Below are 25,735 nucleotides of genomic sequence, written 5' to 3' on the forward strand. Positions count from 1 at the left end.
ATTCAATCTATATTTATTGAGGTTCTCTGTGTGTACTATGTGTGAATAGATAAGACTGCGAGATCTTTTACAGCCTTCACTTTATCTTACCCGTCTTTGTATTCATAACACCTAGCAATTGCCCAGCTTAGAGTTAGCACACCATTTCAAATTAAACTCAGACATAGTCTCTGAATTCATTCATTATTTTATTCAACTACTAGTTGAATTAAACTCAAATATAGTCATTACGCTTAGAGAGTTTATGATGTAGCAGAAAATAATCAAATGATTTTGATACATTATACTAATGATAGCTTACATTTATTGAAAATGTACTATGTGCCAGGCATTACATATGTTACCTCGCTCTCAGAACCATCCCATGAAGTAGGAATGTTGTTATTGCCATTTTAGGGGTAAAAAAACTGAGGCTTAATAGGAAGAATAAGTTCAAGAGATCTATTGTACAACATGGTAACTAGTTAATAAACAATGTATTGTATTTTGAAAATCACTGAGAGAGTAGATTTTAATTAAGTGTTCTCACCACAAAGAAATTGTAAGTATGTGAGGTAGCACACATGTAAATTAGCTCGATTGAGCCATTTCACAATGTATGTACATACAGTATGTCCTTATGAGGTTCATTTTATGAGGTTTCAGTTACCCACTGCAGTCTGAAAATATTAAATGGAAACTTGTAGAAATAAACAGTTTCTAAGTTTTAAGTAGCATGCCATTCTGAGTAACATGATGCAATCTTGTGCCATGGCGCATCATCCCGCCTGGGACATGAATCATCCCTTTGTCCAGCATATCTGTGCAGTACACGGTACCCACTCCTAGTCACTTAGGAGCCAATTTGGTTATCAGATCACCTTTTGAGGTATAACAGTGCTTGTGTTCAGGGAACCCTTATTTTGCTTAATAATGTCCCCAGCGTGCGAGAGTAGCGATGCTGGCAATTCCAGCTTGCCAAAGAGAAGATGTAAAGTGCTTCTTTTAAGAGAAGAGGTGAAAGTTCTTGACCAAAAATAAGGGGGGAAAAACCATATGCTGAGGTTGCTAAGATCTGTGGTAAGAACGAATCATCCATCCATGAAAATTGTGAACAAATGTGAATCTTCCATCCGCGAATTGTTGTTGTAATTGTTCTATTTTATTATTAGTTATTGATAAATTCTTAACTGTAACAACTTTATAAATTAAACTTCATTATAGGTATTTACGTATGGGAAAAAGCTGAATGTATAGGGTTCGTTACCATCCACAGTTTCAGGCATCCACTGGGGTTTTCAGAATGTATCTCCTGTGGATAAGGGAGGGACTACTGTATTTCAAAACATCATGTTGTATACAATAAATATGTACAAACTGTATTTGTCAATTAAAAGAAAACCCTGAGACTAAAAGGGAGGTGGTTGACTACAGTTATACAGACAGTTAGTGGCACAGTGAGGATTTTAACCAAAGCAGTTTGGCTCCAGAGCCCATCCTCTTAACTATCTGTACTGTGTGGCATTTTTCTAGGCTATTCTGGTAAGTTCTCTCCATAAAGTACATAAAGAAGGGGCTGTAGGAGCCCAAAAGAGAGAGCAAGAACCCCAGGGAAGGCACCAATAAGTGTCATTGGAAGTGTGTTTTGAAAGATGAAGTGTGTCTGTGGGGATACTAAGGAGTGTGGCATGGGTCCAGGAAGTACTGAGTAATTGAGCTGGAGCATTACCAGTGTGGATGTGTGCAAAAGGGGAGGAAGGGAGCGAAGGAGAGAACTTCAGGTGAAGTAAATTAATGCCCAATGTACCCTTTTTTGCTGGAAATATTTAGTACTCTTTTAGATTTTTTCCTTGGTATATCAGAGAAATTAAAAATGGAGTCCTAATGCAGCACAGAGAGCTAATATCCATCTGACGTTGTGTGATAATGGGTCCATCAGGATATAAAACCACCAAACTGTTAATTCAAAATTAATTTGATAAAAGTAACAGAACCTGAACAAAATTGATTGTTTGAATTCCCTGGATAGTTATAAGCCATTCAGTTGGCTTTTTGTGGTAAGGAAGGATAAATTTTAGCCCTGAGTTTTTCCCAGGAGGCCGATAACAACCTATGATTCCATGAAACTTTATCTTAACCATTCTCTCCTAGATCAGGGCTCCAAATCTGATTGTAAGTTGAGATTTCTTTGGGTTTTTACAAAGAAGCTTTACTGAATTGTCAGAACATAGTCAGTTACTCATTTATTATTAGGTTGTACTTTTTGCTTTTGGCTGCACATGTTAGAAATCAGACACTTGCTGGGAGGCAAGAATTATTACTACCTTATTTATAATTAGAAATCATGATTGAAATGGTAGAAGAAATGCTTTATTTGCCTACGCTTAAGTCAATACTGTCAAGAATGCATCTTGATGTTTCCTGGGAACTCAGTTATCTACAATTTGAAACTTTATCTGCCATTTCATAGAGACAAAAATAACTCTCCCAAAACATTTGGTGAAATTATTGTTCATTTATTTCAAAGTGACTCTAAAAGTTAGTGCATATTCTTAAATTTACCAGCCTTTAATGGTAAGGTAAAATTTAATGTCCCATTACTCAGTTACAACAATCATCAAGTCAGCTATTCTTGTTTTATTTAATCCTTCACCTCCACTATTCACCCACACTGCTTGATTGTTTTGAAGCAAATCCCAGGCATATCTCATTTCTAAATATTTCATGTGTATTTATAAAATATTATTGACCTTTTAAAAATTATAATACCTTTATCATACTTTTACAAATTAGGAGTAATAAATTTCCTTAATGCCAAAAAATGCCTTGTTACTGTTTAGTCTCCTGGATTTATATATATTTTTTAGCTTGTTTGAATTAGGATCCAAATGCGATTTATAGGAAGTTGGTTGATATGTCTCTTAAGCCACTTTTAATTTAAAGCCCTTCCTTTCTGCTACCCCTGCTCGTGTACTCTGAGATACTGTTGGAGAAACCCAGTTGTTATCCCATATAGTTTCAACCTTCATTCGGGATATTGCTGATTGCATCTAAGTGGTCTTATTTAATATGTTCCCTGAGTTTCTTATAAATTGGTAGTTTTATCTAGAACAGAGGTCCTCAGGACCGCTTCATACTTATAAACATTATTGAGGACCCCAGAGGGCTTTCGTTTATACTAATATTTACTGAATTAGAAATTAAAACTCAAAAAATGTTTAAAGAATTTATTTACTTAAAAAAAAAGCTAATTATACATTAATGTAGTTTTTTTCAATGAAAAATGACCATTTTCCCAAAACAAAAACAAATGAGTAAGAAAAATAGCATTGTTTACATTTTTCAAATTTTTTGGCTTAGACAGATAGATGATCCTATCTGTTTTGCATTCAGTCTGTTGTAATACATTGTTCTGTTTGAAGTATAGGAAGAAAGTCTAGCCTAGCAAAAAGAGGTGTAGTTGAAAAAGACAGAACTATTGTAATAGCTGTTTAAGATAACTGTGGATAGTCTTTGACCCTATACCAAAACTCAACAAGTAGTGGTTTCTTATAGGTTAGTTGCAATGTAGAATATAAAACTAAATTCATGAAATTTTCTTACTCTGTATATTAAAATTCATTGATGTTTTAAAATTTTGAGTGGAACTTTTACTCACACATGATTTTGTAACATCACGCATTGGGCATTTGGAAGATGTTGGTTCATTCAGTTACATGGATCTTCTAAATGTTGGCACATTTCATTAAACAATATAAAAAAACCCCACATTCCTTGAAGTTATGACCAGTCTCATCAGAAGAGTAGCTAAGTGTAGGGAAGTTGTCAAGCTCACAGTGGTAGATTCAAGTTTTCCAGAATACTTATTTTCATTTGAAGGTTTGAATTTTATCATCAGCTACAACACTCTTAGTTGTTTTCCTTTGAGTGACAGACTCACTTTTTTCATTTCTGAGAAAATGTCTGCCAGATACCCAAGTCTGAATACTCACAGTTTGTCATTTTTCATGTAAAATGGTGCTCTGTGGAAAAAGCAGCTGGTTGAGCTTGCAGCTCAATTGCACAAGTGCTTTGCTTCAAAATGACCATTGTATTTCAGTTAAAACAGAAGTGCTATATGCGGACTTCCCATTTCATCATAGATACTATTAAAAAGACATGAACTTTTTTACTACTTCATCAAGGACATTCTTAAGGATTTTTAAAAAACTGTAGCCAGTGACTGTAAAGAATGCAATAACTGCTGACACTATTTGGTGCCACTTTTTGGTTTCTACTGAGGCTAACAGTTTTAGCCCCCACTGCTTTTGTGTAATCAGTACAGATGTCAACACAGTAGAAAAGTCAAATAGTGTCTTAAGATTAATATGAAAATAGTTTGGTCTTATAGAGTCCCCTAAGAGTGTGTCAGGGATCTTCCAGGGATCTGCAAGCCAGACTTTGAGAATTGCTGATCTAGAAGCTTGATCAGAATCAGGTTCGATTTTTTTTTTTTTTTTTGGCAAGGGTATTTCATAGGTGGTATGTATACTTCCATCAGAAGGTTCATAATATCTGGATATATGGTCATCTCTCTTTTTCCGTTGTTAGAAACCAGTGAAGGTCATTGTCTGGATGCCATTTCATTAGAGGTTACAAAGTGGTGACATTTGATCATTTCTTCTCCATTTACCAATTGAAGTAAAGAAGCATTTCATTATTTAGATAATCTCAGGTACAATGTATACAGAAAAGACAGAATATGCACTTGATTTTTTGATTTTTATTATAATTTTCAAAATAATGTATTGGTTCCCTGGCATTCTCCAAAGATATAACCAGGGATTTTTTTTGTATCATAAATTCGTGGATTTAAAAATATTTGATCTGTTTCAATCCTTTCATCTATTTCTTATGTTCAAATGGTTCCATCTTGATATAACCCCAGTAGTTACTTTTAAATGTTTTATTGAGGTATGCTTTATATACTCCCTGGTAGTTTGTGAGAGCATCCTTGCTTTCTAGTATGATGAGATGTGAGATGTTCCAGGCTCATCTTGTCCATGTCTTGCTCCAAACCTGGAAACAGACCTTTTTTTTTTTTTTAAGGAACTCAGGTTTTTAAAATGGGAAATGGTAATTAGAGACCACAGTCTGGGTGCAAGTTGTGCTCATTGCAGTTAGGTCATTTTTTTCTAAGCCTTTTCAATGTATGAATCCAGGAAATGTGTTTATTACAAACTCATGCGTTCTTATGCTATTTCCAGTGTAGATTGAATACTACTAGTTTTTTCCTTAACCACTTTCATCCCACATCTGTAATCCTTTCCCCCATGCCAAATATCTTCCCAGCAATTCTAATATAATTACTCATTTGTTTTTCAATTCACAATAAATGTCAGCCTCGGAATAATAATGCCAGTACTTCTGACAACAATACTGAAAACAGTTAAAGATTTGTGTTGCAGCTTGTTGTCCTTAGGGACATCCCATATAGATGTACAATGAAATTATTATATGTTAAAGCTACTGGGAATAATTTCTACGTGGTTATGCCACAAACTTAATTGGCCAATAGGTTTTTTTGTTTCATTTTGTTTTTTGTTTGAGGTATTGCTTTTTATTGTTTTGCTTTATAATTATATAAACTATATGGTTCCAAGGGGCAAGTCTACAAAACAAAGTTGTTCAGATTTAGTTTCTATTCCTATCTCCTCTGTTTCCTCCTTTTTTTAATGTTTGGGAGATATACACAAGACACATGTATGCATGCATGCATGCACGCACAGACAAATACATGTATGTTTGTACTACCATTCTGAGATAACAGTAGTGTCCTGTCCATACTTTTCTCTGTTTGTTTTTTGTTAATTATATATCCTAGAAATTACTCCATAGCCATACATAGAGATAGTCCTCATTCTTTTTTCCTATGCTTAGTATTCTGTTGTGAGGATGTATTGTAGTTTATTCAGCCAGTCCTCTGATGATACACATTTAGGTTGTTTGCAACAGTTTTTAAGTTGATTGCTTCATAAACCTATTCATAAATAGGGAATGCAATTTTTTATGATTGTTTTGGTTTTTTAGGTTCATGCTTTGTCAGTTTTGAGAAGCAAGTTACATGTTTTAAGCGTGTTTAGCTTTTTTTTTTTTTTAAACAGCAAGGAGTGGATTTATTCAGAGGTCTCCCTCTGCCACATTTTAGTGCTGTTTGTATAAAGCAGCCCCTAAGACTCTAGTCATAACATCACGTGTCACAGGAAGAGTGAGTAATCAATCTCCTGGCAAACATTGTTTGTTAGCCTGCCGCAGGCATTAAAATGTTGCCAGGTGTTAACAACCTGGAGGCCTGGAATTCCTAATTGCTGTAATCAGAACCTGAAGTTTTTAAAGTTTGAATCTCATTACAACCAAAGCCAGATTTGGTTCAGTTACTTTAATTTTTCTATAATTTGAAGTCAGAAAAGAAAAAGAAAAACAACTGTAACTTCAGTGTTGTTTATTATTCATCAAGAAGGTTTCAATGGCTGAAATTTAAAATGTAAATTAGCTATTACTCTAGAAAGCACAGTTTTTAGTTTTCAGCTGAGATGAATGTATTTTTCTTATTCCTGGATCTATAGCCACGCTTTTGAATTATGATCTCATTCACTTAGACACATATTTTTCACTCTTCTTTTGAGCTGTTGAAGATATTTTCTTCAGTCTTTCTTTTCAGCTTTACCTCCTGTTTTTTTTTCTCACACGAACTCTTGACAATTCAGTAATCCTTATTCCTGGGACATGAAATGTTGAGAAGACAAAGGAGATTTATGCAAGTTTTCCCACTCCATCCAAAGAAAGGGTCTCTATTAGAGCTCTTGAAAGTGATATTTGCTTATGTAGCCCAGTGCCTCTGAAAGAAAAAACATGATGCAGAACTTTTCTCATTATCTAAGGTGTGTTCCTGGTGTCATTTCCCTCTCCCAACAGGACCACTTTTACCTAATACAAATCTGGATCCTCCACTACTCAAGTGAAATACAACGCAATTAGCATCTTTTGTCTTTGATAACACACCTACTCCAAGCACCAGTAATGCTGGAATGGAAAGCATGTTTCATTTCCTTTCTTCATTTCTCTGTTGGAGTTTGATGCTGATATTACTGAGATTTCTAATGGACAGTGTAGGGAGGAGAAGGCTGATTGATGGTAATTTATTGTACTGCTACTGAGAAAAAAACACAACTCAGGGTATTGGTTGTTCGATACATCCAGATTTTTTGACTGAAAATGTTAGATTTTACTTTTTCTTTTTTAAAAATTTCCAACTTTTAAGTTCAGGGGCACATGTGCAGGATGTGCTGGTTTTTTACATAGGTAAATGTGTGCCATGTTGGTTTATGGCACAGATCATGCCATCACTTAGGTATTAAGCCCAGCATCCATTAGCTATTCTTCCTGATGCTCTCCCTCCTCCCAAGCCCCCACCCTCTGACAGGCCCCAGTGTGTGTTGTTCCCCACCATGTGTCCATGTGTTCTTATCATTCAGCTCCCACTTATAAGTGAGAACATGCAGCATTTTTTTTTCTGTTCCGTGTTAGTTTGCTAAGGATAATCACCTCCAGCTCCATCCATATCCCTGTGAAGGACATGATCTCCTTCCTTTTTATGGCTGCATAATATTCCATGGTATATATATACCACATGTTCTTTATCCAGTCTATCATTGATGAACATTTAGGTTGTTCATTACAGCACTATTCACAATAGCAAAGATTTTACATTTGTTTAGAAGGCTTGATAAAGTTGCAGTTGTGTACCAAGTGTACCAAAGTGACTGTTCTTTTAGTGAAGAAGCAGTAGATTTGGTAGTTAAGATCATTGGAATCAGGCTTTCAGCGTTCAAATCCTGACTTCACCATTTGCTGAGTAGCTGTGGGCCACTTACCTCTCCTCTCTGAGCTTCATTGTCCTCATCTGTAAAATGAAGTAATACTAGAACCCATAGGATACATTTTGAACCTATATGAGAGTTAAATGGAGTAATGCACATCAGGGGCCTGCAATATAATACAGATTGAGTATCCCAAACCTGAAATCCTGAAATGCTCTAAAATTTGAAACTTTTGAACAGTCAAAGAAAGTGCTCATTGGAGCATTTCAAATTTCATATTTTTGGATTAGAGATGGTCAACAGGTAAGTATAATGCAAATATTTCAAAATCCTCCAAAATCCAAAGTTTAAAACACTTCTGGTCCCAAACATTTTGGTTAAGGGATACTTCACCTGTAGTCACTTCATAAATGTCAGCTTCTCCTCCCTCCTTCCACTTTCCCCTCCTTTCTTGAAACATTGTCCATGGAGTAAATTTCACTACCTAAACTTTTCCCCCAGTGATTTGCCATTGCCTTCTGTTATAAAATCAGAGATACATTCCCAAAGAATACTTGCTCCCAGAGGGACTGATCTAAAACTACTCTAAAACAAAGGAATTAAAACTATTACTGCTTGGAAATTGATTACCAAAGTGATCATAGGTATCAATTTTAGAACTTCCTAATGCTTTCTTCCTTTCTTTTCCTTACATCTCTATACAATAATACAGTGTTTCTTTCTACCCACCTCTCAAATCATGAACTGTTGAGGTTAACGGAAATTTTCAAATCTTGAAGCTCTGAAACTACTTCCCTTACAGTAACACACTTCTACCAATAGATGCCGCCCTTTCACTTCTTGAGTGCACAATCTCCTGTGTGGCATTTGCTTAAGGCAGAGCTTGCTGGCTATGTAAAATGAATGATAAAATTATTGAACCAGGCCGGGTGAATGATAAAATTACCGAACCAGTGGCTCATGCCTATAATCCCAGCTTTTTGGGAGGCTGAGGTTGCAGGATCGCTTGAGCCCAGGAGTTCAAGGCCAGTCTGGGCAACATAGTGAGACCCCATCTCTACAAAAAATAAAAGCACATTTTAAAAAGCCAGGTAGGGTGGCATGTGCCTGTGGTCCCAGCTACTCAGGTGGTTGAGGTGGGAGGCTTGCTTGAACCCGGGAGTATATGGTTTGCAGTGAGCCGTGATTGTGCCACTACACTCCAGTCTGGGCAACAGAGCAAGATCGTGTCTCAAAAAAAAGAAAAAAGTTACTGAATCACTTTAGAAATTTGACATTGTGTGAAGTGAGTTTGTTTGAAAATAGGGAAAACTTGTAACACAGACCAGTAGAATGAACATTACATTACATAAGAAGAAGGGTGAATGGCCCAGGCTTTAGCTGGGACCTTGGGTGAGTCACCCTCCTCTTTGAATTTTAGTTTGTGATCTGTAAAAATTAAACATAATAGTACCTATCCTGCTTTTCCCACAGAGTTGGAGAAAGGATCAAATGAAATATACATTGGGTTATTTGAACTAAGTTTACTTTCAAAACTTTGGTAGAATTTTATTAGCCAAGAATTATAAGGCCGTTGATGTTTATTTTCGGTTCATTGTGTATTAAGTATTATCACTTATTTTTATTTCACATTTTATTTTACTATTATAAAAAAATTAACTCTTTGAATGATGACAAATAATTCAGAAGTGAGGAAGACAAAGGAGCAGTTAAGCCTGGATTTCTGGTATGACTCCGTTTGCTGATGATAGTAACATTATCACTTTAGATCTAGGTAGCATTTAATATAGTTAAAGATGCATTCATAGTTTGTTCTTTTGTTTGGCAATGCTTACAGTGTTTCTGTGAGGTAGCAGGGTGGGGTTTCTTATCCTCTTATAGTTTGAGGAACTGGAGCCCAGAGACATTTTACAAAGGCATCTTTCCTACTTGGTGCCAGAATCAGGTCTGGAACCCAGACCCCTAAGTGGCTTCCTGTCTGCGTTAATTCATAAGTGTGTGTGTTTTCTCACATGAAAACAAAAACAAAAACTATGCTTACATATTAAATACCCAATGTTATAAACCAGGAAAAAGAATCTTCTTTCAAATAACATGTGATAGGGACTACAGTAACCAGGAAGAATGATTTCAGGTTTATTGCATCTTCCTGGGAATTTCGTGACATTAGAGGAGTATTTATTATTAACTCACAGTGTTTTTTTTCATGCTTATTGAGAACACAATGCAGATTGACAAGCTTTGTATTTCATTAATTGTTTATGCAAACAATTCTTATTGGAGCAATTTAATTTGTACTTTCTTTTGCTGTTCTTTCTTATTTACTTTCTAATTATGGGTTGTACAGTAATTTTGCTATTGTCAGAAAGTGTCTTTTTTTTTTGTTTGTTCGTTTGTTTTTTTGAGAAGGAGTCTCGCTCTGTCGCCCAGGCTGGAGTGCAGTGGCCCAATCTCGGCTCACTGCAACCTCTGCCTCCCGGGTTCAAATGATTCTCCTGCCTCAGCCTGCTGAGTAGCTGACATTACAGGTGCATGCCACCATGCCTGGCTAATTTTTGTATTTTTAGTAGAGATGGGGTTTCACCATGTTGGCCGGGCCAGTCACAAACTCCTGACCTCAGGTGATCCGCCTGCCTCCGCCTCCCAAAGTGCTGGGATTATAGGCCTGAGCCACCGCACCTAGCCAGAAAATGTCATTCTAACTAAAAAGGCATTATTATTTTAAGAACATTTTTGGTTTTCGCCAGGTGCAATCCCAGCCCTTTGGGAGGCCAAGGCAGGAGGATTGCTTGAGGTCAGGAGTTCATGACTAGCTTGGGCTACATAGCAATACCCTGTATCTACAAAAAAAAAAAAAAGAAAAATTGGCTAAGTGTGGTGGTGCGTACCTGTAGTCCCAGCTACTCAGGAGGCTGAGGCAGAAGGATCGTTTGAGCCCAGGAAGTTGAGGCTGCAGCAAGCCATGACTGTGGCACTGCACTGTAGCCTGGGTAACAGAATGAGACCCTATCTCAAAACTAAAAGGAAAAAAAAAAAAAAGCAAATATAACCTCTGAAAACAAAGGTATCTATTGTGGAGGAATCTTAATGGATACAGGAAATATTTGATATATTTTCTGGTTATATCTCTGTCACAGTGTGCTTGTCAGTCTCATTCAGGCACTTGTTCCTGAATTTTTCTTCTCTTCTACTCTGTTATCTATTGTCTAATCAGTATGGGCTTTTCTGCTAATTTGCTTTTCTTTTTTTTTTTAAATTTATTTATTTATTTTTTTTCCGAGATGAAGCCTTGCTCTGTCACCTAGGCTGGAGTGCAGTGGCGTGATCTCGGCTCACTGCAACCTCCGCCTCCTGGATTCAAGCAATTCTCCTGCCTCAGCCTCCTGAGTAGCTGGGATTACAGGCACCTGCCACCACATCTGGCTAATTTTTGTATTTTTAGTAGAGACAGGGTTTCACCATGTTGGCCAGGCTGGTCTTGAACTCCTGACCTCGTGATCTGCCCGCCTCGGCCTCCCAAAGTGCTGGGATTACAGGTGTGAGCTACCACGCCCAGCCTAATTTGCTTTTCTTACTCCAGTGTTAGATAATGAATATTTTTAGTAATCTTCATATTGGTTGCTCATTATCTTGTCTAATTTTAAATTTTATTGGCAGACACACTTGGTCTCTTAAGACTAACTACATTTTGGATTTTGACAAGGAAATGATGAAAATAGCAGTTATTGAATGCTTGTTGTGTGTTAGGTCCCTGTAAATGTTTTATACCATCTTCTTTTCATAATATCCTCACATGGTAGATCTTATAGATCTTATTCCCACTTATTTGACAGAGAGGCTTTGAGGCGCTAGGTGACAAGAGATGCTAGGTGACCTGTCCCACCCTTGGTGCATGATTAATAAAAGATAGACCATTATTTTTCTCAGAATAACGCACGTTTGTTTGTGTGAGAATGGTTATATATGTGCCGATGGTAAACATTCATCTAATTCAGATGCTGCATCTTTTCTTTCTCTAACATGTGCAGCCCTTAGCGAATTGCCATAGCATGCAGGTGCTCAGAATGTGTTATTTGATTATGTTATTTGGGCCCATTGTGCACTCTTTGGAAATCTTTTTAAATTTCTTCAGATTTTCTTTTTGTAATATCCATTCATCTATGTGTATAGGAATATGTTAATTGGACTATAATTTCATAGATGTGGAATTTAGATTTCTTCCCTGCTTCTTTGGTAAAACTGTAGTAAAAAACATTGATTGGAAATACAGTGTTGGGAATTCCCTTGATCGAATTGGATAAAGCATAAAGCATTTAGCAAAGTGCCTGGCATTCCTAATCTATTATTAATATGTGGGTTCCTTTTAGAGTGATGGCTTATTTATAGTGAAGAAGAGCAGTGGGTTGGGAATCAGGTCTCAGCTCTGACTGTAACTAGCTTTGTGTCCTTAAGTAAGCCACCTAACCTTTCTGGGACTCTGTTTCTTTGTCTGCTAAAGGTAAGATTAAGCCTTCAAGAGCCCTCAAACTCTCTTGGTCTTTGTTTGCCAATTTAAAAAATGCAGCTAATGCGTCTCTCTCATAGGGATCATGTGAGCCTAAAATAAAGAGCTTGTGTAAAGTGTGTAAAAGATGCTCAGTATATATAAGGTTCTTTTCCTGTTCTTTTAAAAGCAGAGAAATGCTTAGGACACCCAGGACGCCAACATGAGCATAGAAGGCAGTCTGATATACTGACCAAGAGCAGATAGACTTGGATCCATTGCTGGTTTCATTATTTATGGGACCAGTAACTCTAGGCTTCTCACCCAACCTAAAATGAAGATACTAATCATATTTACTTCTGAGTTATTGAGAAGATTAATTTAAAAATGCTTTTAAAGTGCTTAGCAGAGTATCTGACACAGAGTAGGCATTCAGTAAATTTTATTTACATGTGTAACACTTAGGGTGGGAGACATGGATGAACTACTGGAAAAGGGAAAGATACTGAGGTGGGCTGCCCTAAAAAAGGAAGGTAAGAGGAAGACCTACACTTATTTCACACTTTTGTTGCAGGCCCTGCTAGTTCACACATTGTTTGCTTTGTGATTTTTTTTTTTTGAGACGGAGTGTTGCTCTGTTGCCCAGGCTGGAGTGCAGTGGCGTGGTCTTGGCTCACTGCAACCTCTGCCTCCTGCGTTCAGGTGGTTCTCCTGCCTCAGCCTCCCGCCACCATGCCCGGCTAATTTTTGTATTTTTAGTAGAGACGGGGTTTCACCATGTTGGCCAGGCTGGCCTCGAACTCCTGACCTCAGGTGATCCATCCGCCTCGGCCTCCCAAAGTGCTGGAATTACAGGCGTGAGCCACCATGCCCAGCCATGATATTTATTTTATACCTAAGATGAGCTTAATTCTGTTATGACTTTCTTGTTCCTAGGGTGAGCTTAATTCTGTTATGACTTTCTTGTTCCTAGGGTTTAAATATCAAGGATACTCACTAAAACACTGATAGACCTTTTGTGTTTTCTCTGATTGCTTCCCTTCTGTGCCTGCCTGGAGGCTATAGGTCCTGGACAGTTCCCACATTGATGTTTTTTTTTTCAAAACAGTTTTTTCCTGATGGTACATTTGTTAATGTAAAATAGCTCAAGTAAATGTATGTGCGTATGTATGAAAGAGACAGAGAGAGACAGAGAGAGCTGTATGGGATCCATCAGCTGCCGAGGGTACCCTTTCATCAAGCAGAGTTCACATTGCAGAGCATTGGATCAGAGGGTGGCCAGCAGCTGGAGGGAGAGCAAACTTGAATCTACTTTATAGACCCACTAGTCACTTCCATTTGCCCTTTACTTAGGAGAAAATACACAGCAAAAACTGTTCTTTAGACATGGATGCATCTAGTTTAATAAATCTTAATGTAGTGCTATTAAAAATGAGGTAAAGTCAGGAAATTTTCTACCCCCTCCCAAGTGCTCTTATTCCTAGATATGCAGGACCAAGCATAAAGTTATTTTCACACATTGGGAAGAAATGTTCCATTCCAATTTCAAGTGGAGGTTTTCCACTTTTGGAAGTGCTGCTGAGACTGCAATTATAAACTACAACTATTCTTTTAAAACAGTTCCTGGGATGAATTAAGATCTTGCAGTAAAAATACCATATACAATCTGTCACATTATCTGTGGAACTCTTCCCTTTGCCAGCTTGGTCAGTGAGGGTAACAGCTGCCCAGAGTTCATTGCTAAACGGATGTTTAACAATGGTACTGTGAATTCAGCACTTCATATTAGAATAATGCTTGAGTTCCTGGTATTCGGTTAATGGAGTTTTACGTACAGTGATACAGAAAATATGTGATGCACAGGATTTCAGCTTTTTAAGAATTCTCACCACTTCTCCTCCCATCTCAATTTTGTTGTTGTGGAAAATGAAAATCCCACAGGAAAGCCAAGTGTAGTCCTCATTCCCTGACTTCTGGCTTTGTACTCCATCACTTTCCACTTCCTTCCCCTCCCCTCTCTACACTGTTCACCTGGGCCTAAACGTCTGAATGACTGCAGCCTCAAGGAAAGCTTCAAGTTAGACTAGATGACCTTTAAGGTTTTGTTAATCCTGAGAATCCGTTTGGCCACATCAATGAGCTCCTTTGTATCTACTCAAATGTGATAGAACAGACGAGCATTCAGAGTAAGGGGATCTTCCTAGGCTGGCTGCAGAGAGAACAGTCAGCAGTGCTCGTGCCATGGCTACAGATTACACATCTCACTCTGGGGGTGTGTGGGGACTGGGAAAGGGGGAGCCAGTTTGGCCTGTGGCACATGTAATTTTTATACTTTGAACTACTGAAATGGGTCTGAGTTCTCCAGCTCTTCACAGACCCCATCACTTCCTGTTTTTGTTTTATGAGCAGACTGTTGAGTTTATTTCTGTTGTCTTTGCCAGTCTCTCAAAACATTTGTGTTTGTGATCTCTGATTTAACCAGTCTCCAGCTGATGGTCATTTAGGTAGCCTTCAGCTTTTTAATATTAATAAATATTGCTTTAATAACATCTTTGCATGGTACGCCCTTAGAATTAATTCCTGCAGTAGAATTATTGGGTCAAACTGTTCACAAATTTGAAATTTTGATACATATTGTTAAATTTCCCTATCGTTTTTGGTATGTGAATTGTTGCTTTATATTATTTACTGAATTTTCCATGGAATTCTTATTTTCTTTATTGATTTTAAAGACTTCTTCAGCTATCAAGTCAGGTTATGAACCTTTTAACATATGTGGTAAAGATATTCTGCTAGAATATCTTTTAAAGCTTTGTATATGGTATCTAACTTCAGACATTTAAATTTTTATATATTTTGATTTATTAGCTTTTTCTTGTGGTTTCTGGAATTTTATGTCATCTTTGGGAAAGTTTTTCACATTCTAAGATTACAAAAATATTAACCCTTACTTTGTTTTAGAATGTTTTATTATTTTTTCTTTCTCAATATTTAATCTATCATGTATTTGTCTTGGTGTTAAGAGTAAGGTAGCAATCGAGCTTTATATTTTTCTAACAACCAAGGGTTTAAAAAATACATAATTAATTTAGAATTACCAAATCTTAATAGCTTATAGTACCTAAAAGTGGCTTGTTTTTACAGATAGAAACTTTCCACTTCAAACTCTGAGTTTTAATGTTTTTCGGCTTTTAAAACCTCTAGAAAGAAACTGTGAACAGAACACCGTATTGGTTTTGGCATTAACCTTAATGCATCTCAAATAGGCTGATTCTACAGAATTTGATCCAAAGTACTTCTATGTCTTGATCCTTTTTTTGCCAAGCAAAATTGATTGTTTCTAACCAAAAGGCCTTTAGTGCTAGACTGAAAGAAAAGTAAGGTGGTCCTTCTGTGCTGGTTGTATTTTATATAATTTGGCATCAAGTACAATGCTTTTTATTTTTCTCTTTAGTTTCTTTCTTTTCTCTAGCCTTTGATGGTCCAGGCCTCTTGTTGCTAGGGGGCTTTTTGGGAGACAAATTCAAATCCTTACTGTCTAGCTCATTGTTATTGTATCTTTTAGTGAGTTCCTTTTTTCATGGTAGTTCAATAAGTGGTTACCAGGGGTCTTTCTTTGACAGTTATTACTAGCTTCTCTTGTATAGTGGGATTTAGCTGTGGGTTGATTTGTTGTGCTGGTATGTTTTCAACTGCAGCGATGCATTGCTCTATCACATGGATTCTTTTTATAGCTTCATTAGAGGTGTTTTAGTTCCTCTTTTGAATATTTATCTGAGTATCTTAGTACCTTGGCAGTCACACTATCCTAAATTATTATAGTGCCTTCTAAAGTAGATTTTGTCATTGAGGCTTATGTTTAGGTCAGGCTTGCAGGCAGGGAGACAGATTATGCCATTGTGGTTGAGAGGCATATAGTGGTTAAAACCACTGGAGTTATTCTGTTAGGGCTCATAGCCTATCTTCTCCACCTATTATGCCACCTGTCTAACCCTTGATTGTCTTATCTGTCAAACATGGTAAAGTCATACCTCTTTCATAGGGCTGTCGTGAGTATCAAATGAGATGCAGGTTGCGTAATCCCAAATCCAAAAATCCAAAATCCAAAACACTTCTGGTCCCAGGCATCTTGGATAAGGGATACTAAACCTGTAATGCACGTAAAGCACCTTTAGGACAATGGTCCTTACTGCTGGCCTGCAATAAGCACTTAATAAATGTTATTATTTTCTTCTTTTTTGGTGTTGGTTTGCTCTTCTATAATGTTACAATGCTATTTTGTTAACCTTCTAGTTGTAAAAACACACTCATTATAGAAAGTTTAGAGACTGAAGAAAAGCTTAAAGAAGAAAATGTCTCTTACAACTCTTCCACCCCCCCCAGCAATAATAATTACATTTTAACATTTCCTTCCAGTTTTTTAATACTTAGATATTATTTTACACAGCTGAGATCATTCTGCATGCATAATAAATCTTGATTTTTTTTCACTTAACATATCTTAAACATTTTCTCATATCATTAAAAACACTTGTGAAATCATTTTTAAGGGTCACATAGTAGCCCATCACATTACATTCTTTTGATTGATTTAATCATCCTCTTTTTACTTGGCATTTAACATTTGGGGCTTTTTTGGTTGGAGTTGGGTTGTTTTCAGGTCGTTCTAATATATTAAGCCAGGCTTTTTTCTTGTCAACAGGAGGTTTGGGGATTGAGTCTTTGTGATTGTTTTTATTGTTGCATTTTTTTGCCTGTTGAGTGTGTGAATTAAGCTGGGGTTTTAACCATCAGCACCTGCGCTCTCAGACTCTTGCCACCACCTTTCTGGACAATCTCCATGCTCTGCTTTTTAAACTTTTTCTGATGAGTTTCTTTTCTTCTGTGCTAGAAGAAAGATGAATGGAGACTATGTTTGGTGTTTAGGTTTCTGACCCGGCAGTGCCATGTGAATGCCCAGTAGCTAGCCAAGGTCAACAGCACTGCCTGTTAATGGCTTTTTACTGAAGTAGTCCTGTCGAGCAGTTTCTGGTGAGAAGACTATCCTAAATTGTTCTTGACAGGGTACACTATTTTTGTTTCAACTTCTTATTTTTCCTGTAAAGCTTGGTTTAAAGTATGTTGAGACTGAATTTATTTGTGCTTTGGAATATAATGAGATTTTGTGCTCTTTTCTTTCAGAAAACTAGCCAAGAACAGCAGTCTGGAAAAGACATATGTATCCAAAATTGCCAGGGAAACCTGCTGTGTAGATACGCTTTCTGAGAAACCACATGGTAAATGAATGTCATCTTTGTCTCAGAACCACAGTAGCCTGGTTCTGCTGGTGGATCGTGCTAGCTGATTTGAGCTGGGTTTTTAACTCAGTTATTGAAATGGCTTTGAGAGCAGGACTTAAATGCCTGCGGTTTTTGACCTCAAGAGGTTGCTTAAAACAGTATCAGCCTGTGTGAGCCTGAGACTGTTTTTCATTTCCTTTGTTTGGTTCGGAGACTGCTTGATCCATGGCTGCTTGGCAGGCTTCTTCTTTAGCGTTCATTCTTGTGGCCATTTATTCTCTGATATTAAACTACAGGATAATTTTAATCTCAACTACATGGTGAGAAAAAGAGCTGAGTCCAGACTGGCTCAGAAATGGAGCCTAAGAACTGCAATAAGTATCCTAGCACCTTAGGCCCTAGGAAGGACTGTTCCATAGTTAACTTCTGTGTGGCTTCACTGTAAGCACAGGTGACAGATGGGCATGTCTTGAATTCCTAGAAGCCATTGTCTCTCTCAATCATCTGTTCCAACACTGTATCAGAGAATGATAAACTTTCAGAATTGAAAAGGGTCTTAAAGGACATATTTTCCAGCTCTTGCTATATTTCCAACAAGAGGCATCATCTCACATTTGCTTGACTACCTGCAGTCATTTCTGAGAAGAGGGAATTCCACAAGTTGGAAGTAGTTCAAATCATTGCTCAAAGCTGTGTGTAAAGATAGTAGTTTTTTTTTGTTTTTTGTTTTTTTTTTCAGCCAAAATTTGTCCCCAGGGAACCTCTATCCATGAAATTTTGATTACTTCTCACAGGAACTTTAGCAAAAGTTAGTTGGGATTGTCTGGATTTTCCGTTTTGCAGATAGAGAAAGCCACCATCTCTTTCCCCTAACTACTTAGTACTATGGTAACTTGGGTTTAGGAAAATTTGCCAGTTCATTGTTACCAAGGCAAGTGACTAAATCGTGGGTTCTCTGTATGCTAATGCTGCCCCGCATATAGGCTTTACTGCTGTCCGTGCTTCATTCTCTCTCTGTTTAGCTGAGAAAATGAGTGTGAAAGCACTTAGCCAATAGTAGTAGATGTTGGGTGACATTTCATTAAAAGTGCAGACTCCTGGCCAGGTGCGGGGCTCACATCTGTAATCCTAGCACTTTGAGAGGCCAAAGCGGGAGGATCCCTCGAGCCCAGGAGTTTGAGACCAGCCTGACCAATGTAGCTAGACCTTGTCTCTACAAAAAATTAAAAAATTAGCCAGGCATGGTGGTGCCCACCTGTAGTCCTGCTACTCAAGAGGCTGAGGCAGGAGGATCACTTGAACCCGGAGTTTGAGGCTGCAGTAAGCTATGATTGCACCACTGCACTCTAGCCTGGGCAACAGTGGGACACCCTATCTTTTTTTTTTTTTTTTTTCAAAAAAAAAAAAAAAGGAAAAAGTACAGACCCCAGAGTCAGACAGAACCTGATTCAATTTTGATTTCAACCACTTGCGGGCTGTGTTAACCTCAATGGATTATATAATTCTTCAAACCTCAAATTCCCCATCTGTAGCACTGGGTTAATAATTATAGCTGTAAGATTTAATGAAGAGCAAATGAGATTAATACATATAAAATACTTAATGTATGGCTGCTAATAATGAACAGTTAATGCTTAAAAAATTCTGGCTTTTATTATTGCTATTGTTACTATTCCTGTAATCACTGTCCAACAAGGTCCCTGAATCTGCCCTCTCATTAAGGCAATACAGGCAGAGCTTAACCTTCTCTCCCACCTGTCCTTGTGATTTCTTCTCTCCATAGGACTACCCTTGGTATTCATTTTCACCTGATTTACCAAGAATAGCAATATAAGCATCAAAAGAAGGGGTGGGGATGGGCATGTACACAATTTCTCTGGCCCCTGGATATCCCTGCTTCTCTTACATGGGGAGGTTTCAGGAGTGACCTTGTTACTCTGCCGTGTTGTCAGAACTGGAGGTTGGGCGTTAACTTATTTTTTCTCATTTTCCTGCCTTTAGGGAAAACACGTATATTCAGAAATATCATGGTTGTCTCTATTTTCAGAGATGGTTTCATCCTCTGTGGCTCTGTCATTTGAGTATGTGTTTTTAACAATCTACTCATTCCACTTTGTCCTTGTGGTCTAGATTTCTTAGTAGTCAGTTTTGTTTGGTTTCACTCCAGATGTAGGTCTCTGCCGCTTCCCAAGACATCTTAATTTCATGCACATTTAAAAATTTATTGGCATCAAGTTTCAGATTTTAAAATTTGCAGTATCTGTATTTATAGCTTGCTTTTCATTCCTGTTATTTGTTTCTTCTTTTTTTTCCGGGGGGTGGGGATCAGTCTTATCAAAGTGTAATTTTTTTTTTAAGCCCAAACCAGCTTTTGGTTTTGTTGATCCTTGCTACTGCACATTAACTTTTGAATTCATTAATTTATGTTCTTACATCATTTTCTTCTTTCTGCTTTCTATGGGTTTATTTCTCTTTTCTTCACTTGGACAATTCAGCTTACTAATTTTTAATTATCTTTCTTTTCTTTTTCTTTCTTTCTTTCTTTTTTTTTTGTTTTCTTTTTCCCCGAGACGGAGTCTTGCACTGTTGCCCAGGCTGGAGTGCAGTGGCATGATCTTGGCTCACTGCAATCTTTGCCTCCCAGGTTCAAGCAATTCTCCTGTCTCAGCCTCCCGAGTAGCTGGGACTAGAGGTGCACACCACCATGCCTGGCTAATTTTTGTATTTTTAGGAGAGACGGGGTTTCACCATGTTGGCCAGGCTGGTCTGGAACTCCTGACCTCATGATCTGCCTGCCTCGGCCTCTTAAAGTGTTGGGATTACCAGCGTGAGCCCCCGCGCCGGGCCCAATTATCTTTCTTTTCTAACATACATTTAAGGCTGTAAAATTTCCTTTAAATACTATTTCAACTACCTGCCACAATTTTTTGCTATGTAATATTTTTGTAAAGTCAGATTTGTTGAGGTTTAATTTATATGCTATAGAACATGCTCCTTTTAAGTGTACAGTTGGATGAGTTTTAATAGAAATATACAGTTGTATAAATACCACCATAATCAAGCTATAGAACATTTCTAATATCCCATCAAGTTCCCTTATGCCCTGTTTTTTGTCCCTAAAGTTTTGTCTTTTCTGGGATGTCAGATGAATGGAATTGTGCAGTATATAGCCTTTTGTGTTTGGCCTCATTCACTTAGCATACTGTTCTGAGATTTGTTCATTTGTTGCATATGTCTGGAGTTTGTTCCTTTTTATTGCTGAGTAGTTTCCATTGTATGGATATTACCAGAATTTATCTGTTCACTACTACTTTATTTTCAGTGGGAGAAAATGAGAGTATTTTAATTCTGCATTTGGACTGTAAATATCATCCAGACTCTTCTGGATTGGAAAGTATCTTGGCATTTTTCAAATACAAATATTTATTTAGGTTTTATCATTTTGAAAGTTCTTCCATTAGTGGGCAAACATGAGCTCATGTGTATTCACTTGCACGCTTCCTCCTGTAGCAGTCTGGGTTCAGAGAGGAGATAGAAACCACACAGTAGATTAAAGAGGGGAAATTTAATATAATAAGTATTACCTATGATAAAAGAGTAACTATCAGATATGAAGAAACTCTGTAGCGTTCCCTAAGGCTGAGGGCGTATATCCAAGGAAGGACAAACTGCCAGGGCTTCAGACTTCATTGGAGAAGATGTGGTTCAGCCCATGGAATCACAGAGGAGTTTGCTGGTTTGACAAGACTGGAGCTGATCCAAAGTCTCTGGGCAAGCCGTCGTTTACCTTCTGGAGTGCTGGCAGAGAGCAGGCCATCCAGTGGGTTACTGGCCATCCGGTGGGTAGCAGGGTGTGGGCCCTGGCTGGGCCAGGAGGCCTTTAGAACACAAGAGCCATGTGGAGGCTTTAGTGGCCATGTCAGCTGAGCTCCCAAAACGTTAGGATAGGCTGAGTCTGCAAGGTCACAGAAAGACCACGTTCTAGGCTGTCGCTGGGCCACAGTGTCGATGGTCCTCACACCCACATTGCCATCTCCCATGCTGGACACTTAGGACAGCCTCTTCCTCCCAGTGCTCTACTGAGAAAACTTCACAGCACACGTTCTTCAGAGAAATGATTATCACAGAATGCATCTAGAAGGGTGCACTTGGATCTTAGAGGTAACACACTATCCCTATTCTTTTAAAAAGAAGTGCTATCAAGTCAAGAGCAGTAATAACTATATGCTTGTGTTATTAACAATCAGACCCTTCATGAGGGGAAAAGAGTTTATGAAAATTAGAACTTACGTAGTTTTAAGTAACAAAGATATGTTTATAGACAAATAGAACTATACCTTCCCATGGGACCTGTGTTATATACTAATCATGATATTGTCCCTATTCTCCCCTCTCCCAGTCATTGGAATCATAGATTCCAAGTTGTAAGTCAGACCCCAGATTGGAAGCACTTTCTTTGTTCAAGATGTTTGCTCATTATAGAAAACATTTAGGAAGCACATTTTAAAGAACGGTTTTATACCAGAGAAGCTAAGTGTTTTTAACTCTGAGCCTAGATGAGCTTACTGCTAGGAGTATAGTGTTTAAACCTTTCAAAATGAAAAACTAGGACACATGGTCTTTACAAAATTTTTTTCTGGTTTAGGAATTTATACACATTTGAGAAGTATTACCATGGCATAAATTAATTCACATTTGATTATACCAATTAAACAGTTGCCGAAAAGAATAAAAGACTATCCTAAAATATTTAGGCTATATACATACTAATGCTTTTACAGAATAAGGATTAAACAAACCTATCTTTTTTAGAGTCTTCAACCAGAAAAATGAACAAATGATAAAAACTTATATTTAGCAGTTTGAAGGTCACACACACACACACACACACACACACACACACACCCCTACCCCTATCTAGACCTATTTTATGTTTTTGACACTGTAGAGAGTTCAAGTCCTAAGACTTTATGGCCATTATAAAAAGATTCTGACATGCTTTGTGGAATTCTTGTCTGCTTTTGTTGCAGATTTTTTTTTTTCTTTCAAAGGATTGCTTGAGAGGGTATTTCTTTTTTGGGTATTTAGGTTGTGAATCTCACCCTTCATTACATGGGAGTACCCAGCAGTAAGGCTTACAGAGTGTTATATACTTTCCAGAAACTGAGTGCTATGTACTTGCAATCTTTTCCACGCTAAGAAATCCCCAATTTTAAAACTTCAACCTGCAAAGTAGCTTACTTAGGGAATTTCTATTTGTATTCTTGACAAGTTTTCTGTAAGCATTCTTTTTTCTTTTATGTGTTTAAAATTGGATCCTATTTAGTCTGAAGATGCCTTTTAAGACTGCATCTATTAAATAAAGTGAGATCAATTTGCATTTTAGCTTTCAAATTTTGCTGGGGATTCTTTGGGCTTTTTTTATTTGGCAGGAAGAGAGAGAAGCAGCTTGGCCTTTTTGCTATCTCGGAAATTTCCAGCCCAAGAAAGCATACAGAGACATAGCTCGCAGGGTTTCTTATGTGATTAGCTAGCTCTTTTCCTGAATTATTAAGCTGCATTAAAACAGTAGCTCGGTGCAGTTGGTGTTTTAGGTTTTCATACCTTCTGAAAGATTAATATTCCTACAAGAATGAGGTTATTTTTGATGCCTCCCTTTAGTGCTTTCAAACATCAAGAGCCTCGCATTCTTGTACTCTACCTTCTGTAGACATTTACAATTATTCTAGGAGGTGTAATGGGTGTTTACTAACTTCCTGAAAGTGTTTCTCTCACAGATTGGCTTCCTTAAGTGTGAAATTTATACACCAATTTAAAACTACAGTGTCCCCCTTGTCAATGGGGGAATATGTTCCAAGACCCCCCACTGGACACCTGAAACTGTAGATAGTACTGAACCCCATTGCCATCAGTCAGAACGTTTCTGTTCATGTCTTTCACCCACAAATTTAATCCCTTTTCTATCTTAACCAAGCGCTTATCACACAACTGTGGTTGAAACTTTTGCTCCTTGAGGTATGACAGCAAAACTAGCATGTATTTCTTTTTCCTTCTTCACAGTATCATGGGTAGAAGATTCATTCTTACTGTAATCTTAGCAGCCTTAGTGTATGATTTTTTGTTGTTAGCCAACAATGTTCATCTTTTCACTTAAAGGAAGCACATCATGGTTTCTCTTCGGCATATGTGAATTGCCAGCATCACTACTCTTGCATTTTGGGTCTATTATTAAGTGAAATAAGGGTTCCCTGAACACAAATACTGTGATACCAATTCTGCAACAGTCCATTTGATAACCAGGGTGACTACTGAGTGACTGAGGGGTGGATAGTGTGTATAGCATGGTTATGCTGGACAAAGGGATGATTCACATCCCAAGCGGGATAGAGCAGGACAGCGCAGGATTTCATCATGCGTCTCAGAATGGCACACAGTTAAAACTTAGGAATTGATTATTTCTGGAAGTTTCCATTTAATATTTTCAGACTTTGGTTGACTGTGGGTAACTGAAACTACAGATAAGGGGGAATATAATATACTCTTAAAATAGAATTTTTCTTAAAGAGCAATCATAAGCAACCAGGACTAGAGAATTTTTTTCATTTTTTTCCTTGTAATTTTATTGCAAGTAGGATACTGAATTAGTTGCTTATTTTGATTTTGGTATGCATGGATCAATTTTGAGTAATTGATACAACTTTATTTAATGAACTTAAATTATCCTCTTAGGCTTATGTATTGATTACATACTTTCAAAGCTGAAATGCTTGAGAGAACCCAGTAAAAAGTCAGTATCATTTTCAAACAAAGGCTTAAAGATTAAGGATCTATTTCTTTATTAAATATTTATTAAGAATTATTTTTTGCTGGCCTGCTCTCTGAAAATATATTAGATATAGTCTTTAATCTCAAATAGGTCCTACTTTAGTAAAAGAAAAAGATACAGGATTGAGAGAGGAGTTGGAGCTTGTGCTGAGCTGGAAGGTTGAATGGGCAGCCCCCTAAGCAGAAGACAGAATTAGATCCAGCAGAAGCTTGGAGGTGTAAAAAAGCATGGCACCTGAAGGAATTGGGAGTTGTTGTTAGTATTTCTGACTAATGAGCTCATAAGTCTTTTCGTTTATTTAACCTAATTTGATTAGTTCTCTGTATCTCAAATGTGTTACTTGATATAACCAAACTTGCATTTCATTTTTAAAAGTTAAAATTCAGACCTTTCCCTGATTTAGAATGACCCCCTCTTCTCTGCACTATAAATGTGTGACGAGATAAAGTTTTTTTTCCCATAGACTCTGACCACAGGGATTCTTCCATCTGTCAATTCCTATAGCACATGTTGCCTTGACACACAGTTGGCCAGGCTTTACAGTCAGACACGCTAAGGTTCCTATCCTAATTCAACCACTTACAACCTCTGGGACCAGAGGCAAATGCCTATATCTCTCTAAGCCTCCAGTGTCTGCGTCTGTAAGATGAGGGGTAAGAGCACTTATTTCTTGGACTGTTGTGAGGATTACTCGAGATAATGCATGTAAGGTGCTGAGCACAATGTCCAGCACATAGAACTCAATTAAAAGTATCTCTAATTAATGTTAGTGATCATTAGCCCTCACTAATACCCTAGACTGTAGCTTGTTTTCATGACTTCCCTACCTCTTTTCTCTCCACAACTAGCGTGAAGGGAGCATGCCATATACTTTTTTTGTCCCATACCCACTCTTACTCACCCATACTCCTCGATCCTTACATGGGTTCTGACACAGAGTGGGTACTGGCTACATTTTTAAAAAGATGTAATGCTAGATATCAGCAAGTAAACCTTGGGGGATAGGAAAGTTTCTGATGGGTTCTTGCTGTGGAGAATCAAGGTCAAAATGATAGGGAAAAAAATCTGTGTTTGGTCAAAACTGTATTACCTTTGGTCAAAGGCTGTTCTAAAACTCACAGAACAAAAACAAAACAAAACAAAACAGGTGCTTTGTGAATTCCATAGCAAGTCGTAAAGGCTCATGCCAGAATAGAGTTGGAATAAATTCTAAGCATGCAAAATACTACTTTAAGAATTTTGTCCTGTAAATTTGAGAATGTTTTTTAATTACGGTAGCTCCCAAACCTTAACTATGGTTTTGCTTTCC

The 25,735-nt window shown here is 37.6% G+C and overlaps 1 protein-coding gene across 7 annotated transcripts in view, besides 1 other annotated feature; it reads left to right on the forward strand.

Annotated features, from left to right (window-relative positions):
• Nucleotides 1-25,735, forward strand: part of STK4 (serine/threonine kinase 4) — a 113,510-nt gene that overhangs the window by 69,072 nt on the left and 18,703 nt on the right. The window contains exon 11 of one of the 7 annotated variants that reach the window (NM_001352385.2): nt 17,503-17,597. The exons of the other annotated variants lie outside the window; for them this stretch is intronic. Within the exon in view, the coding sequence (NP_001339314.1) occupies nt 17,503-17,586 (84 nt within the window). The 3' untranslated portion in view covers nt 17,587-17,597. The remainder of the gene's footprint in view (nt 1-17,502; nt 17,598-25,735) is intronic. 7 annotated transcript variants of the gene reach the window in all.
• Nucleotides 16,247-16,316: a silencer, noted in NCBI's record as "silent region_12954". NCBI's record gives its function as "represses an Ori minimal core promoter by ATAC-STARR-seq in GM12878 lymphoblastoid cells {active_cell/tissue: GM12878}" and the evidence as "EXISTENCE:reporter gene assay evidence [ECO:0000049][PMID:35858748]".

Source organism: Homo sapiens, chromosome 20, assembly GCF_000001405.40.
Source record: "Homo sapiens chromosome 20, GRCh38.p14 Primary Assembly".
Classification (NCBI taxonomy): domain Eukaryota; kingdom Metazoa; phylum Chordata; class Mammalia; order Primates; family Hominidae; genus Homo; species Homo sapiens.